Source organism: Homo sapiens, chromosome 7 (assembly GCF_000001405.40).
Source record: "Homo sapiens chromosome 7, GRCh38.p14 Primary Assembly".
In the NCBI taxonomy this organism is placed as follows: domain Eukaryota; kingdom Metazoa; phylum Chordata; class Mammalia; order Primates; family Hominidae; genus Homo; species Homo sapiens.
The window spans coordinates 105,281,448-105,297,810 of NC_000007.14; the positions used below are offsets into that span (position 1 = coordinate 105,281,448).

General features: G+C 40.3%; 1 protein-coding gene across 29 annotated transcripts in view, besides 1 other annotated feature; it reads right to left on the bottom strand.

Moving 5' to 3' along the window:
- The window catches only part of SRPK2 (SRSF protein kinase 2), a 284,618-nt gene that overhangs the window by 166,708 nt on the left and 101,547 nt on the right, over positions 1-16,363 (bottom strand). For 4 of the 29 annotated variants that reach the window (XM_047420772.1, XM_047420774.1, NM_001278273.2 and 1 more), the window contains one exon: positions 15,974-16,086. The exons of the other annotated variants lie outside the window; for them this stretch is intronic. The gene's annotated coding sequence lies outside the window, so the exon portion shown is untranslated. The remainder of the gene's footprint in view (positions 1-15,973; positions 16,087-16,363) is intronic. 29 annotated transcript variants of the gene reach the window in all.
- Positions 8,425-8,594: an enhancer, noted in NCBI's record as "active region_26459". NCBI's record gives its function as "activates an Ori minimal core promoter by ATAC-STARR-seq in GM12878 lymphoblastoid cells {active_cell/tissue: GM12878}" and the evidence as "EXISTENCE:reporter gene assay evidence [ECO:0000049][PMID:35858748]".

Here is a 16,363-nt window from a genome sequence, read left to right on the forward strand (position 1 = left end):
TTCCATTTAACATGCATAGAAACTAAAAGTTAAATTTGCTCAAGACTCCAGCGCTACCCACCAGTTGCAGTGGCACATGCCTGCAGTCCTAGCTACGTGGAGACTGAGGCAGGAGGATCACTTGAGCCTTGAAGTTTAAGGATATAATGCACTATCATCACACCTGTGGATAGTCACTGCACTCCACCCTCAGCAACACACTGAGACCCTGTTGCTAAGGTAAAAAAAAAAAAAAGATCCCAAAGCTAAACAGTTTCACTTACAAAAGCAGCAAAAAGAATAAAATATTTACAAATAAATTCAACCAAGGAAGTACAAGGCTTGTACACTGAAAACTATAGAACACTGTTGAAAGAAATGAAAGACCTGAATAAATGGAAAGATATCCTGTGTTCGTGGATGGGAAGATTTAATATTGTTAAGATGGCAATATTCCCCAAATTAATCCACAAATTCAACATAATCCCCCGATAAAAATTCCAACTGCCTTTTTTGCAGACACAAACAAGCTGATCATCAAATTCATGTAGAAATGCAAGGTACAATGAATAGCCAAAACAATCTTGAAAAAAGAAAAAGTTGGAGGACTCACACTTCGTAGTCAGTTTTGGCTTCAAAACTGACTACACAAAGCTATAGGAATGAAAAGTGTGAGGAAAGAGGCCTAAGGGTGGACATTTAAATCAATGAAAGATAACGGAAAGTCCAGAAATAAACCCTCACATTACAATCAAGTGATTTTTCAACAGGGTGCCAAGACCATCTAATGGGAAAAGAATACTCTCTTCAGCAAATGGTGATAGACAACTGGATATTCACATGCAGGAGAATGAAGCCAGAGTTCCCCTTCACACCATATACAAAAATCAGTTCAAAATGGATCAAACAGCTAAATATAAAGGCTAAAACTATTAAACTCTTAGAAGAAGACATAGAAATGAATCTTCATAACCTTAGAAGAGGCTACAGTTTCTTAGGTATGACATGAAAAGCACAAGGAATAAAAGAATAGATAAATAAACTTAACATCATAAAAATTAAAAACATTTGTGCATTAAAAGACATTATCAAAGGGCCAGGGGCAGAGGCTCATACCTGTAATCTCTGTGCATTGGGAGGCCAAGGTGGGCGGATCACTTGAGGCAAGCCTGCCCAACATGGCAAAACCCTGTCTCTATTAAAAATACAAAAATTAGCCAGGTTTAGTGGTAAACATCTGTAATCCCAGCTACTCGGGGGACTGAGGCATGAGAATCACTTGAACCTGGGAAGCGGAGGTTGCAGTGAGCCGAGATTGTGCCACTGCATTCCAGCCTGGGCAACAGAGTGAGACTCTGTCTCAAAAAATAAAATACATTAAATTATAAAATAAAATAAAATGCATTATCAAGAAAGTAAAAAGAAAACCCACAAGATGGGAGAAAATATTTGTAAATCACGTAACTGATAAAAAAAAAAACTAGCATCCAGAATATATAAAGAACTCTTAACAATCAATTTAAAAACCCAACAACCCAATGATAAAGTGGGCAAGGGATTTAAATATACATGTGCCAAAAGAAGAAAAACAAGTAGCTAATAAGCACACAAAAAGATGCTCCACATCATTTGTCATCACACAGAAATGCAAATCAAAGTAACAGTGAAATACCACTTCACAACCAAGAGGGCTATAATCGAAAAGACAGATAATACCTATTATTGGTGAGGAGACAGAGAATTTCGAGACTTCAGGCATGGCTGGTGGGAAAGTTAAATGGTGCAGCTTTGGAAACACGCTGGCAATTCTTACAAGAGTTACAGAGTTACCATATGACCCAACAATTCTCCTCCTAGGTATATACCCAAGGGAAATAAAACATATATTCTTACTCTTCACACAAAAACTTGTACACAAATGTTCACAGCAGCATTACTCATAATAATCAAAAAGTGGGAACTCATATGTCCATCAATTGAGGAATGTTAAATAAAATGTGGTATATACATATGTAAAAGAAAGAGTACTAATACATGCTACCGTATGGCTGAACGCTGAAAACATTATGCTAAGTGAAAGAAGCCAGGCACATAACAAATATTATATGATTTCATGTGTGTAAATTGTCCAGAATAGAGAAATCCATCAACACAGAAAGTAGATTAGTGATTGCGGGTAGGGCAGGGTGGGAATGAGGAGTGTTTGCTAACACAAAGAGGTTCTCTTTGAGGTGATGAAAATGTTCTAGAATTATGTAATAGTGGTAGTTTCAAAATATTGTGAATATGCTAAAAGCTATTAAATTGTACACTTTAAAATGATTAAAACCGAGGCAGGCAAGTCGTTTGAGCCCAGGAGTTCGAGACCAGCCTAGGTAACATGGTGAGACACCGTTTCTACAAAAAATACAAAAAAAAAACTAGCCAGGAGTGGTGGTGTACGCCTGTGGTCCCAGCTACTCAAGAGACTGAAGTGGAGGCTGAGCCCAGAAAGTCAACGCTATAGTGAGCCGTGATGGTGCCACTGCACTTCAACCTGGGAGACAGGCTGGGAGACAGGGACCCTGTCTCAAAACAAACAAACAAACAAAAAATGATTACAATGCTGACAAGTTACTTGGGCGTTTTTTGTTTGTTTTTTTTGTTTGTTTGTTTTTTAAAGAAAAACTGCAGAGCTAGTATGTAACTAAGCCAGGATAAGAAACCGGGGCGGTCTAACACCAAAGCCTAAATCCACAGCTGTGCTGCCGAGCATGAAAGGAGATAGTTATCAATCTGACCAGGGAAAGGGAGTGGTCATCAAGGTCATTTGGGCTTGGTTATAAAGGTCAGAATGACTTTGCCAAGTGAAGAAATTAACACTGGGCCCACTCCAAACAGAAAAAAATGGTACATGCAAAGCTACAGAGAACCTCTCGTGTACGCCATCTTAGTGGTTTTGGTGGCTGGCATGACTTAAGCAGGTACTGGTAAGAAATGAAGCCAGAGATAATGGCAGAGCTGTTCCCAGAACACCTTCTGTGCCATACAAAGAAATCCTACTTTTAAGTATGGCAGAAACATAACCAACTATACAGTCAAATTTAAAGATTCAACAGGTGATTGAGATTTAAAAGCAAAATTAAAAAATCTTATATCATGCTGGGGGAAAAATATTAAACTTCATGGAGCTATTTATAAGGCTTGTCAATTCACCACAATTCATTTTGTGTCTGTACTCCCACACAGTACCCCTCAGGAGCTTTGCCAATTATCACTTCTCTCATTTGTAAATCCTAAAATTCTCACCTCGAGCATCAGTAGTCCCTTATTTCTACAAAAATATCTTTCACTGCAGCAAGTAATAGTAAAATCTACTTTCAAGACTTTGGTGCTTTATACAATATTATGAAGTACCACAAACACTTCAGCCAAATGGGCTGGGTCTACTTTATTCCTGTCTTGCTGTTTGTGAGGTTTCCCACATAGGCACCAACTAAAAATCTAAACTCGTTCTTCAATTTAATAAGCAAGAATCAACATACAGGGTCTTAAACACAGCAAGGACATACAAGAGTCTTAGCTTTGTTATAATAAAGTTACCCTGAGTCAATATTCCAGGATCCAAGTTCTTCATTTTTATCAGCTTTGGCCATGTACTGAGTTGCTGGTTTCCAATCACACTGAAACAGTATTTTGGCCAGGTGCTGTGGCTCCAGCCTGTAATCCCAGCACTTTGGAAGCCCGAGGCAGGAGGATTGCTTGAGCCCAGGAGTTCCAGACCAGCCTGGGCAACATAGCGAAACCCTATCTCTACAAAAAAATCAAAAATTAGCTGGGTGTGGTGATGCACGCCTATAATCCCAGCTACTCGGGAGGCTGAGGTGGGAGGATTGAATGAGCTGGAAGGCAGAGGTTACAGCAAGCCAACATCGTACCACTGCACTCTAAACTGGGCAACAGAGTGAGACCCCGTCTCCAAAAAAAAAAAAAAAAAAAAAAGGAAAAGGAAAAGAAAAAAGAAACAGCATTTTAAGCATGAAACAGTGCTTGACATTAAAATATCAGGATAATAATTGTATTTCAAATAAATTATATGTGGTTTAGATATTTGTCCACTTCAAATCTCCTGCTGAAATGTAATCCCCAGTTTTGGAGGTGGGGCCTGCTGGGAGGTGTTTGGATCACGGGGACTGGGATGGATCCCGCATGAATGGCTTAGCATTGTTCCCTTGGTGACAAGTGAGTTCACATGAGATCTGATTGTTTAAAAGTATCTGGCACTTACTCCCGCTCTCTCTTGCTCCAGCTCTTACCACGCAACCCATCTAACCACCTGCTCTCCCTTTGCCTTCACCATGATTGTAAGGTTCCTGTGGCCTCACCAGAAGCAGATGCTGGACCCATGCTTGTAAAGCCTGCAGAACCGCGAGCCAATTAAACCTCTTTTCTTTAAAAATTACCCAGCCTCAGGTATTCCGTTATAGCAATGCAAGAACTGCCTAATACAAAGTAGAAACAGAAACAACAAGCATTTTACACCAGTTACAATGTATCAGACATGCATCTATTTGCTTTACATATAATAATTCTGTTGATACTCCCATATCCCTGTAAGATAAATACTATCGCATTATCTTCATTTTACAGGAAAACTGAGGTACAAAAAGGCTAAGCAATTTGTCAAAGATCACAGAGCCACTGTGGTAGAGGGAAAATCTGTACCAAGACAGTCTGTACATAGGGTTTGGGTTCTAAGCCACTATGTTCTATGCATCTCCACTTTCAAATGTCCTCAAATTTTTCAATGACATTCCTTTACATTCATAATATTTGTAAAAGCTATGATGCAAACCTACAAATCCAGTCGTATTCAGACTTCAAGTTTATAATCTTGCTGCTCCATCCCTCTACAAATAATTTCTTTTGTCCTCTCTGCTAATCTTAAAACAATTATTTATTAGATTTACTATGCTAAGTGTTTGGAGGGTAAAAGTCATTAACATATTAACTGTCCATAAAGAAGATCAAAATTTTTTGCTATATTTGACCGTAGTTTATGAGGTAAACTACATTTAAGTTAAGCGCTGGGTAATTTGGGCATTCTAAGACAGTCTCAGAATGCATCCTCTGTATTTAATTTTACTCTTCATGCTAAAGGACAGCTGTACTGATTTACAGACCAACGAAATCACTCTCTGGGGGTGGTAACACCTAAAAAGTTCCATAAGCAATTCTGATGCACAGCCAGTATTGAGATCACTGGTTTTACTTACACTGGCACTCCCTAACTAAAATGACAATATTGCAAATGCATAATTCATTTTACAAACAATTAGTCAATCATGCCAAACACTATTCTACTTATTGATTTAAATATGAAGAATGCTGGCTATGTATGCTCCAGCAATTCCTCTCCCAAATCTACCCTAGAAAGACATTTACACGTGGCCTAGGAGAATCACACAAAGATGTTTGTCACATTGCTGTATGCAACAGCAAGTAATGAATAGCCGTGCAACTGTCAGATGAACTATGGTACATTCATAATATACAGCATTTGAAAAGGATGCAGGCCGGGCGCGGTGGCTCACGCCTGTAATCCCAGCACTTTGGGAGGCCGAGGCGGGCGGATCACGAGGTCAGGAGATCGAGACCATCCCGGCTAAAACGGTGAAACCCCGTCTCTACTAAAAATACAAAAAATTAGCCGGGCGTAGTGGCGGGCGCCTGTAGTCCCAGCTACTTGGGAGGCTGAGGCAGGAGAATGGCGTGAACCCGGGAGGCGGAGCTTGCAGTGAGCCGAGATCCCACCACTGCACTCCAGCCTGGGCGACAGAGCGAGACTCCGTCTAAAAAAAAAAAAAAAAAAAAAAAAAGAAGAAAAGGATGCAGAAGATCCACATGTACTGATAAACATATCCAAAACATAACTCTCACAAAGTAGCTTGTAGAATACCCAGAATATACTATCATTGTTATAGATATTTCACAGGTACATATACATGTGTATATACATGTAAAATATATTCTTAAATAACTAGGAAATGGCTGGGTGCAGTGGCTCACGCCTGTAATCCCCACACTTTGGGAGGCTGAGGAGGGGAGATCACTTGAGGTCAGGAGTTCAAGACCAGCTTGGCCAAATGACAAAACCCCGTCTCTGTTAAAAATATAAAAATTTGCCAGGTGTGGTGGCACATGCCTGCAATCCCAGCTACTTGGGAGGCTGAGGTAGGAGAATCGCTTGAACCCAGGAGGTGGAGGTTGTGGTGAGCTGAGATCACACCACTGCACTCTAGCCTGGATGACACAGTGAGACTCCATCTCAAAAAATAAAAATAAAAAATAACTATAAAATGATATTCCTTATTCTGGGGATGGAGTGTAGAAAGAGGAAACATAGGCAGGAAGATCTACCTTTATTTGCACTTTAATTTTTTACAGATATTATTTGTGTAACTAAAATGTATATTTTAAATAATCTTGTCTTACCAAAGGATGCCCCATTTAAAATACATGCCTTTTGTGGTTATATGGCTTTCAAATGGGTACTACACAAAAACACTGCCATCACACCATTATAAATAGCCTCCAAAATGCCAATTTTCACTTTTAAATAAAATTCACACTTTAATCAAGGTCAAAGCAATGCTCTGTTGGGATTCTGAGAGTGTTATATTAAAGGAAAAAAATAACAACTAAATTCTTCTCACACTATTCTATCATTTAAAAAGGAAGTCTTATGGAAGTTGTACAACTGGCATTCTAAAGAGACTAGCGTTAAAAACTTAAATTCAGTCTGTCCCTTCTATTTCCACCCATAGTAGGATCTTACAACATAACAAAATTGCTAAAATAAATCACTGAACTTAAAATAAATAAATAAGTAAGTAAACAAACAAACAAGGCCAGGTGGGGTGGCTCATGCCTGTAATCCCAGCACTTTGGGAGGTAGGGCGGGTGGATCACGAAATCAGGAGTTTGAGATCAGCCTGGCCAACACAGTGAACCCTATCTCTACTAAAAATATAAAAAATTAGCTGGGCGTGGTGGCGGGCACCTGTAATCTCAGCTACTTGGGAGGCTGAGCCAGGAGAATCACTTGAACCCGGGAGGCGGAGGTTGCAGTGAGCCAAGAATGCGCCATTGCACTCCAGCCCGAGCGACAGTGCAAAGTGCAAGACTCCATCTCAAATAAACAACAACAAAAAAAATATATAAAAACATATTAATTAAGCAGCCCAAAAAATAACAAGTTTCTACTGCGAAATGGGTGGAGTATGCTTACAGAAGATACTGCTGTTAGAAACAGAGAATCACATGATAAAAATATAGGATAAAAACTCCAAGTCTATAAGTAGAGCCATCCTCCCAGATGCTCTTCTCCTGGACCATGCAGAGGAGGAAGACATGTGCTAAAGAAACTGGAGCCAAATGTCTAGACACTGACTTAGGAAGCTGCTGCGTACCACAAAAGGGCTACCACAATAAAGAGGTAAGTATAAAATCTCTCAATAACGAAGCTTTCAGAAATTCTAGTTTTCCTTTTTTTAAAAAATAACTTCCAGCCAGGTGCGGAGGCTCACGCCTGTAATCTCAGCACTTTGGGAAGCCGAGGCAGGCAGATCACAAGGTCAGGAGATCGAGACCGTCTTGGCTAACATGGTGAAACCCCATCTCTACTTAAAGCACAAAAAAAAAAAAAAAAAAAAAAAATTAGCCGGGCATGGTGGCAGGAGACTGTAGTCCCAGCTACTTGGGAGGCTGAGGCAGGAGACTGGCGTGAACCCAGGAGGTGGAGCTTGCAGTGAGCCGAGATGGCGCCACTGCACTCCAGCCTGGGCGACAGAACAAGACTCTGTCTCAAAAAAAATAAATAAAAAAAAAATAAAAAATAACTTCCTTCCAGTCACATCATTATGTAATAACAAAATCACTCTCAGTGTATACTTAAAAATAAAGACATACCTCCAGGATATCACAGGTTCAATTCCAGACCACCTCAATAAAGAAAGTCACACAAATTTTTTGGTTTCCCAGTGCATATACAAGTTCTGTTTATATGATACCATAGACTATTAAGTGTGCGGCAGCACTCTGGGAAGCTGCGGCAGGAGGATCTCTTGAGCCCAGGAATTCAAAGCCAGTCTGAGCAACATAGCAAGACCTATCATTAAAGTGATCATAAAAATATAAATTATTCACACTAATTATTCACTGGTTGATATTCTATCCATACCCAACATTCAGACTTTCTCCATATCAGCAATAAGGGTGTTTTGCTTTCTTATCATTTGTGTTCACTGAAGTAACACTTTAAATTTCCGTCAAAAATTTTTCCTTTGCATTCATACTTGTCTAATTGTTTGTCATAAGAGGTCTAGCTTTCCTCCTTCTCAGCCTCTGACATGCCTTCCTCACTAAGCTTAATCATTTCTTACTTTTGATTTAAAGTGTGAGATGTGTAACTCTTCCTTTCACTTAAATACTCACAGAACATTGTAGGATTATGAATTAGCTTAATTTCAATACTGTTGTGTCGCAGGAAGTAGGAAGGCCAAAGAGGAGGGAGAGAGACAGAGTACAGGTCAGTGGAGCAGTCAGAACACACACAGCATGTATCAACTAAACTCACTGTCTTATATGAGCACAGTTCTTAGAACCCCAAAACAATTACCATATTATCAGCAACGATCACTCATCACAGATCACTATAATCACAGATATACAATGAAAACTTCTGAAATACTTCAAGAATTACCAAACTAACACAGAGACACAGGCTCTTCAAAAAAAAAAAAAAAATGGCACAAACAGATTTGCAAGATGTAGTTGTCACAAAATTTCCATTTGTATTAAAAAAAAAACAGCCTGGACAACATGGTGCAAGCCTGTTTCTATAAAACAAACAAACAAACAAAAAATATATATAAAAAATTAGCCAGGCATGGTGGCACACACCTGTGGTCCCAGCTACTACCCAGAAGGCTGAGGTAGGAGGATCACTTGAGCCCAGGAGGCGGAGTTCACAGTGAGCGGAGACTGCGCCACTGCACTCAGGTGTGGATGACAGAGCAAGACCTTGTCTCAAAAAAACAAACAAAAACAAAAACCACAATATTAGCAAAGTGCAACAAAATGAAGTATAGGTCGGGCCACATCTGTAAGTCCACCATTTTGGGAGGCTGAGGTGGAAGGATTATTTGAGGCCAGGAGATCCAGACCAGCTTGGGTAACACACGCAGACTCTGTCTCAACAAAAAATACAAAATGTAGCCAAATGTGGTGGCACACGTCTATACTACCAGCTATGAAATTTAGAATGACTTTGCCAAATGAAGAAATGAAGGCCGGGCGCGGTGGCTCACGCCTGTAATCCCAGCACTTTGGGAGGCCGAGGCGGGTGGATCATGAGGTCAGAAGATCGAGACCATCCTGGCTAACAAGGTGAAACCCCGTCTCTACTAAAAATACAAAAAATTGGCCGGGCGCGGTGGCGGGCGCCTGTAGTCCCAGCTACTCGGGAGGCTGAGGCAGGAGAATGGCGTGAACCCGGGAAGCGGAGCTTGCAGTGAGCCGAGATTGCGCCACTGCAGTCCGCAGTCCGGCCTGGGCGACAGAGCGAGACTCCGTCTCAAAAAAAAAAAAAAAAAAAAAGAAATGAAGACTGGGACCATTCTAAACAAAAAATGGCACATCCAAAGCTACAGAGAACCTATCATGTGCACCATCTGAGTGGTTTTGGTGGCTGGCAGGACTTAAGTCGGTACTGGTAAGAAATGAAGCCAGAGATGATGGCAGGGGCCTGTTCCCAGAGCACTTTCTGGGCCATACAAAGATATGTCACTTTTAAGTAGGGCAGAAATAAAATGAGGTATGCCTGTACTTGCCAAAGTATTTTCACTCACCTAAAGTGCCCAACTTTTTCCTTATTCTAAAGCCTAACTCTGTCTGACATTTGGACTGAGACTACTTTCTTTAAAGACAGAGGGAAGGCCGGACACAGTGGCTCACACCTGTAATCCCAGCACTTTGTGAGGCTGGGCACAGTGGCTCACACCTGTAATCCCAGCACTTTGTGAGGCCGAGGCAGGTGGATCACTTGAGTTCAGGAGTTTGAGACCAGCCTGGCCAATATGGTGAAACCCCATCTCTACTAAAAACACAAAAAATTAGCCGGGCATGGTGGCGCACGCCTATAGTCCCAGCTACTCGGGAAGCTGAGGCACAAGAATTGCTTGAACCCAGGGGGCAGAGGCTGCACTGAGCCAAGATGGCACCACTGCACTCCAGCCTGGGCAACAGAACGAGATTTTTTTTCAGGGGGAGGGGGTCTCAAATAAATAAAATAAAGGCAGAGAAAATAAAAAACATACAGAAAGTAAAGCGAGAGGAAAAATTAACAGCATGAATATAAAGAAAAAATATCTCTACTTGTGGTAGCATTCCATTTCTCAAGTTAGGGATTGACTATTTTATTATTCTTTATGCTTATAATTTCCTGTATTAAATACATTTAAAAATTCACAATTTTCAAATATTTTAAACAGAAGAATAACTGAAAGATGTGCCAAAGCAAAATGGAATGCTGTTTATCCCAAAATGATGGCCTAGTCACCTCCTAGTTTTCCCGTTGCTCTCACGTGTTCCCTTCCATATTTCCTTCTCTGAAATACACATGAGCCTCAGCTACCAACACTTCAAGGAATCAATGATTCTTGACAGTCATATGTTCATGAGTTGAAAGGTTACCTATCTTAACTTTATTTAAGCCATCCTAAATTGAACTATTCATGTCTGGTTAAAAAGTAAATTAGGCTGGGTGTGGTGGCTCACACCTGTAATTCCCAGCACTTTGGGAGGCCGAGGCGGGCCAATCATCTGAGGTCAGGAGTTCGAGACCAGCCTGGCCAGCATGGCAAAACCCCATCTCTACAAAATATACAAAAATTATCTGGGTGTGGCGGCATATGCCTGTAATCCCAGCTACTCAGGAGGCTGAGGCAAGAGAATCGCTTAAACCTGGGAGGCAGAAGTTGCAGTGAGACGTGCCACTACACTCCAGCCTGGGCGATAGAGTAAGACTCTCAAAAAAAAAAAAAAAAAAAAAAAAAAGAGCATAATATAAAGTTTCTTGGCTAACTCCAGGCTTTTCCTTATTGGCACTACTCAGATATTCTCAGGGCCTCTGAAACGCACCTGAAGATCTGCTACTTCTGCACCAATGGTGCCATATTGGGACAGCGCTTTTTGCTTGCTATTGTTTTTCTGTTTTATTCCTTACAGACAGACTATTGCCTTATGTTGCCATCTGTGTACCCTTCTAATTGGCTGATTTGATCCTGTTGAGAAAACTATAAATGGTAGTTTCCCACACTGTTCATAAAGTTTTCCTTAAACCATCTATGGCACTTGAATGTTTATGAGTTCTACATCAGGTTCTTATAAAGACAGTTCTACTCCTGCTCTCTCTCTTGAGGGTTCCATTGCCATAGTACATCTGCTTCTGTTTGAGCATCTCCTTGATTCTTTCCCAAGTGATTAGCTCTACAACTGTAGCTTCCAAGTGGAACATAACAGTATGCCAGGCTTGGCCAGGCGTGGTGGCTCACGCCTGTAATCCCAACACTTTGGGAGGCCAAGGGGGAGGAGGGAGGGGGGCGCGGATCACCTGAGGTCAGGAGTTCGAGACCAGCTTGGCAAACATGGCGAAACCCCATCTCTACTAAAAATACAAAAATTGGCCGGGCATGGTGGTGGATGCCTGTAATCCCAGCTACTCAAGAGGCTGAGGCAAGATAACTGCTTGAACCAGGGAGGTGGAGGTTGTAGTGATCGCACCACTGCATGAGTGAAACTCCATCTCAAAAAAAGAAAAAAAAAAAGTATGCCAAGTATGCCAGGCTCCTTTATATGATGGTTACAACACTAACTGTTGCTTTGTATTATGGTGACAACTACCACTCTAGAATTTGGCAAGATGTTACATATCTTCATCCTCATAAAATCAGTATTAGGTAGATACAAATATCATTTCCTTTTTTGTGGGGGGGTGGGAGACAGAGTCTTTGCAACCTTCCCCCTCCACCCCCCACCCCGCCCCGGGTTTCAAGTGATTTTCATACTTCAGCCTCCTGAGTAGCTGGGACTACAGGAACCCACCATCACACTCGGCTGATTGTTGTATTTTTAGTAGAGACGGGTTTCCACCATGTTGGCCAGGCTGGTCTCAAACTCCTGACCTCAGGTGATCTACCCACCTCAGCCTCCCAAAGGGTTGGGATTACAGGCGTGAGCCACCATGCCTGGCCTCATTTCCATTTTAGAGGTAAGAAAAGGAGGTGAAACCCTGCAAGATAAGATATGTCCAATGTTACCTAGCTAAGTAAGTAACAAACCCAGAACTGGGCCCCAGATCTTTCACTATAAGTCAATGCTTTTAGTATCTACAATGCTATCCCCATTGAACTGACCTAATCTCTTAGAAATTCAAATTCCTGAGGCAAGGAAAGCATTATCCCAGTTTATCTTTTCCAGCCAGGCTACACCATCCACAAGGTTGCTGGACTATCTGTGAACTGCCTGCACCGGGGTCAGGGGGCACACCTAATCCAATCCCTCGGAGTGATACAACATACAACATAGCCAAATCCCAAAGGGCTGCCAGTGGGCATCTCTAGTCCATACCTGTACCCATGTGCCCCTAGTTCCTGACAACCAGAAGGGTTAAGAGAATGCCTGGCATAATCAGGCCCAATCCCCAAAGTTCAATGAATGGAACTGGGAAAAAGAAGTTCCGCAGTTTGAACAAAAGTTCTTTTATCCAGTTTCACAGCACCCTCTGCAAATTTCTCTTCGAGCTCTACTCAGTATTCAACATTTTGTATTCAAATGTTAGGTACCTATTGTTTACCAGCACTGTATTTAGCAAGGTATGAATCCAATAAAATTTTGTCGATCCAGTTCCCTAAACCGTCTCTTCAGAGGTTTTGGTGAAAAAAAATTCACAGTAACTGTTTGTTCCTTTAAAGGCTACCATCCCTTGTGAGGTTTGAAACGAAGGGAAAGCTATGCCTGGATCTTTCTTTTTTGTTGTTGCTGTTTTTTTGTTTTGTTTTGTTTTGTTTTGTTTTGTTTTTTTGAAATGGAGTCTCTGTGTTCAGGCTAGAGTGCTGTGGCACAATCTCAGCTCATTGCAACCTCCGCCTCCCAGGTTCGAGCAATTCTCCTGCTCAGCTTCTCAAGCAGCTGGGATTATAGACGCGCACCACCATGCCTGGCTAATTTTTCTATTTTTAGTAGAGACAGGATTTCATCATGTTGGCCAGACTGGTAACGAACTCCTGACCTCAACTGATCTGCCCACCTTGGCCTCCCAAAGAGCTGGAATTACAGGTGTGAGCCACCGCACCCAACCCTTAGTCATTTTCTAATCCTGTTTTTCTATGGCTGATGCCCAGAATCTTCTCTAATAATATGTCTTTTGGCAAATATTAGTTTTCTTTAAAAAATACAAAATAGGCCGGGAGTGGTGGCTCACACTTCTAATCCCAGCACTTTGGGAAACCGAGGCAGGTGGATCACCTGAGGTCAGGAGTTCGAGACCAGCTTGTCCAACATGGCGAAACCCTGTCTCTACTAAAAACAAAAAAAATCAGCCAGGTGTGGTGGCATGCGCCTGTAGTCCCAGCTACTCAGGAGGCTGAGGCACGAGAATCGCTTGAACCCAGGAGGCAGAGGCTGCGGTGAGCCAAACTGCGCCACTGTGCCCCAGCCTGGGTGACAGAGCGAGAACCCGTCTCAAAAAAAAAAAAAATTGAATGAAAATATTTTATTAATATTTAATATTTAATCTATCTTTACATATTTATATAACGTTTTAATATATTTTAATGTTTGTTTTATGTTACAAATTCATATAAATTTACATATTATATAAATATTTTTATGTAAATTAATATTTCATACTAATTACATGAATAAGACTATCTTGGATGTGTTAAACTAAATGCATTATAAAATTATATAAACATACAATGGAGTATTATTCAGCCACTAAAAGGAATGAAGTATGACACATGCTACAAGATGGATAAACCTTGAAAACATTATGCTAAGTAAAGTATTGTTTAACTCTGCTTATATGTGGTAGCGAGAATAAGCAAATTTCATTGACAAAAGGTAGAACAGTAGTTACCAGGGGCCAGGAAGGGAAAATGGGGAGTTGCTGTTTAATGGGTACAGAGTTTCTGTTTGAAATGAAAAATTTCTAAAAACAGTGGTCACGGTTACAAAACAATATGAATGTACTTAATGCAACTGAACTGCACACTTCAAAAATGTGGTTAAGATGGTTTTATGGGATATACATTTTACCACAATTTGAAAGTACACTAGTGGCTCACACAATATTTCTCTTGGATAACATTAGACACACAGGGTTCAGGTTCCACAATGACAGATACTGAGGATTAAGAATGGCTATAAAAGTCACCTCAAATTCTCAGTATACAGGATATAAACACTGCTAGCAAATGAGTTCATGGTTTCTTGAAGTACTTCTAATGAATACTACCCAATTTAACCCCAAAAGGAGAAAAGTGTGGGGTTAAACTGGGTTGCTAATAAATGGCTTGCTATCATCAAGCTTAAAATATGGACCTTATTTTCTCCTACTAAAGAATGGCTCTGAAGAGTACAAGAATACTTTGTGCAATCTCACAGCTGTTTCCATAAACTACTCCACAAGTGCTTTTCAACAGGCATCTTCAAAATACTCTTCACAAAAACAATCAGCTTTGTGCTAAGAGTACTTTTCTCTATAAAAGACACACAATTTTACAAAAGTAATATCATACACAGAGAAGCAAGAAAGTGGATGTTCTTTTGATTTCTAGTATTCAGTCCTCTTAATTTACCAACTTTTCTGAATCTTGGCCTTCCTAGCCTCCTAACTTAGGAGATAAATAGTTTTGACTCATATTTCTTAAGGCAAATGAAATAGTTTTGAGCCTCTGAACACAAAAGGAAAAAAATGTAACAAATTATTTCCAGTTAGTGTATAAGATTTTAAAAAAAAGTCTTTAGAAAAAAGATTCCAAATGCATCAAGCATATTTCCTAAAATTCAAATGTATAATAAAGTATAACTTAGAGGAATTACAGTGAAACAGGAGAGGAAAGAAAATACAATGGAAGTCCACTGGCTTTACAAGAACTAAGGAAATCTGATTTCAGGAAGCCAAAGGAGAGATGGCATCATAGGCATTCATGTATTTAAATATCTGAGGAAAGCCTATGAGGCTATTAACTGACACAGAAGAAAAACACTAATAGAGCTTACTATGTGCCAGGTACTGTTGTGGGGGCTTACTACTTATTAGCTCATTTAATCCACACAAACCCTCCATGGAGTAGACACTGTCATTATCAACCCTCTTTTACAGAAGAGAAAACTAAAGCAGAGAGGTTAAATAGCTTGGCCCAAGGTCATACAGCTAGCAAATGGTAAAGCTGGAAAACAAATCCAGGCACTCCAGCTCCAGAGGCAACTATACATACTGCCTCTCATAATATTTACAGCAGGTTCAGAATAATGTGTGGTGGGGTTTTAAGTCTCATAAACTAATTACAAACTAGACACTAAGAATACTTAGTGAACTCCCCTCACCCATCTACTGGACAATACTCTAGGGAATTGTCAATAACAGTAACTCACAGGTATGATAAAATTCTCAAACTGAAATAAACATGGGTCAATTTTATTAGGTTGGTGCAAAAGAAACTGCATTTTTTGCGATTACTTTTGGAATATAAAGTAAAAACAAGCTGTTAGAAACAGCAAACCAATTGCCAATCAAAGACCTTTAGTTTTACATGGTGTTCAATAAATACACTGAATGAAGTGACACAGACACAGATCTGTGGTCCATAAATCACAGTGATCACAAGTGCTGGAAACACAGGTAGAATACAGCTATCACGTTTTCACTATAAATTGTACTTAATGTTACCTTATTGAACATTTGCATATTTTTCAAAACACATTGGCTTTCCCTGATATGGTGGCCATCTGGCCCCTCAGATGTATCAACATCCTACAGCCCATCGCCTTGGTTGTTCACTCCTATAAAAGATAAGGCACACCGTTTACCATTTTAGACATACAGAAGGTCCACGCTACAATTACCTAAAAGGTCTTCCGAGATTATCACAATCTGGCAAGTTCTCTTCCCCAAACCTACAAAGCTCTATAAAGCTTTAACAATTAACAAAATCTTTGTTACATTAATTACTTTTGTTTTATTTTCATCTTTAATTAAGCTGTAAATTTTTTTTTTTTTTTTTTTTTTGAGACGGAGTCTTACTCTGTCACCCAGGCTGGAGTGCAGTGGCACCATCTC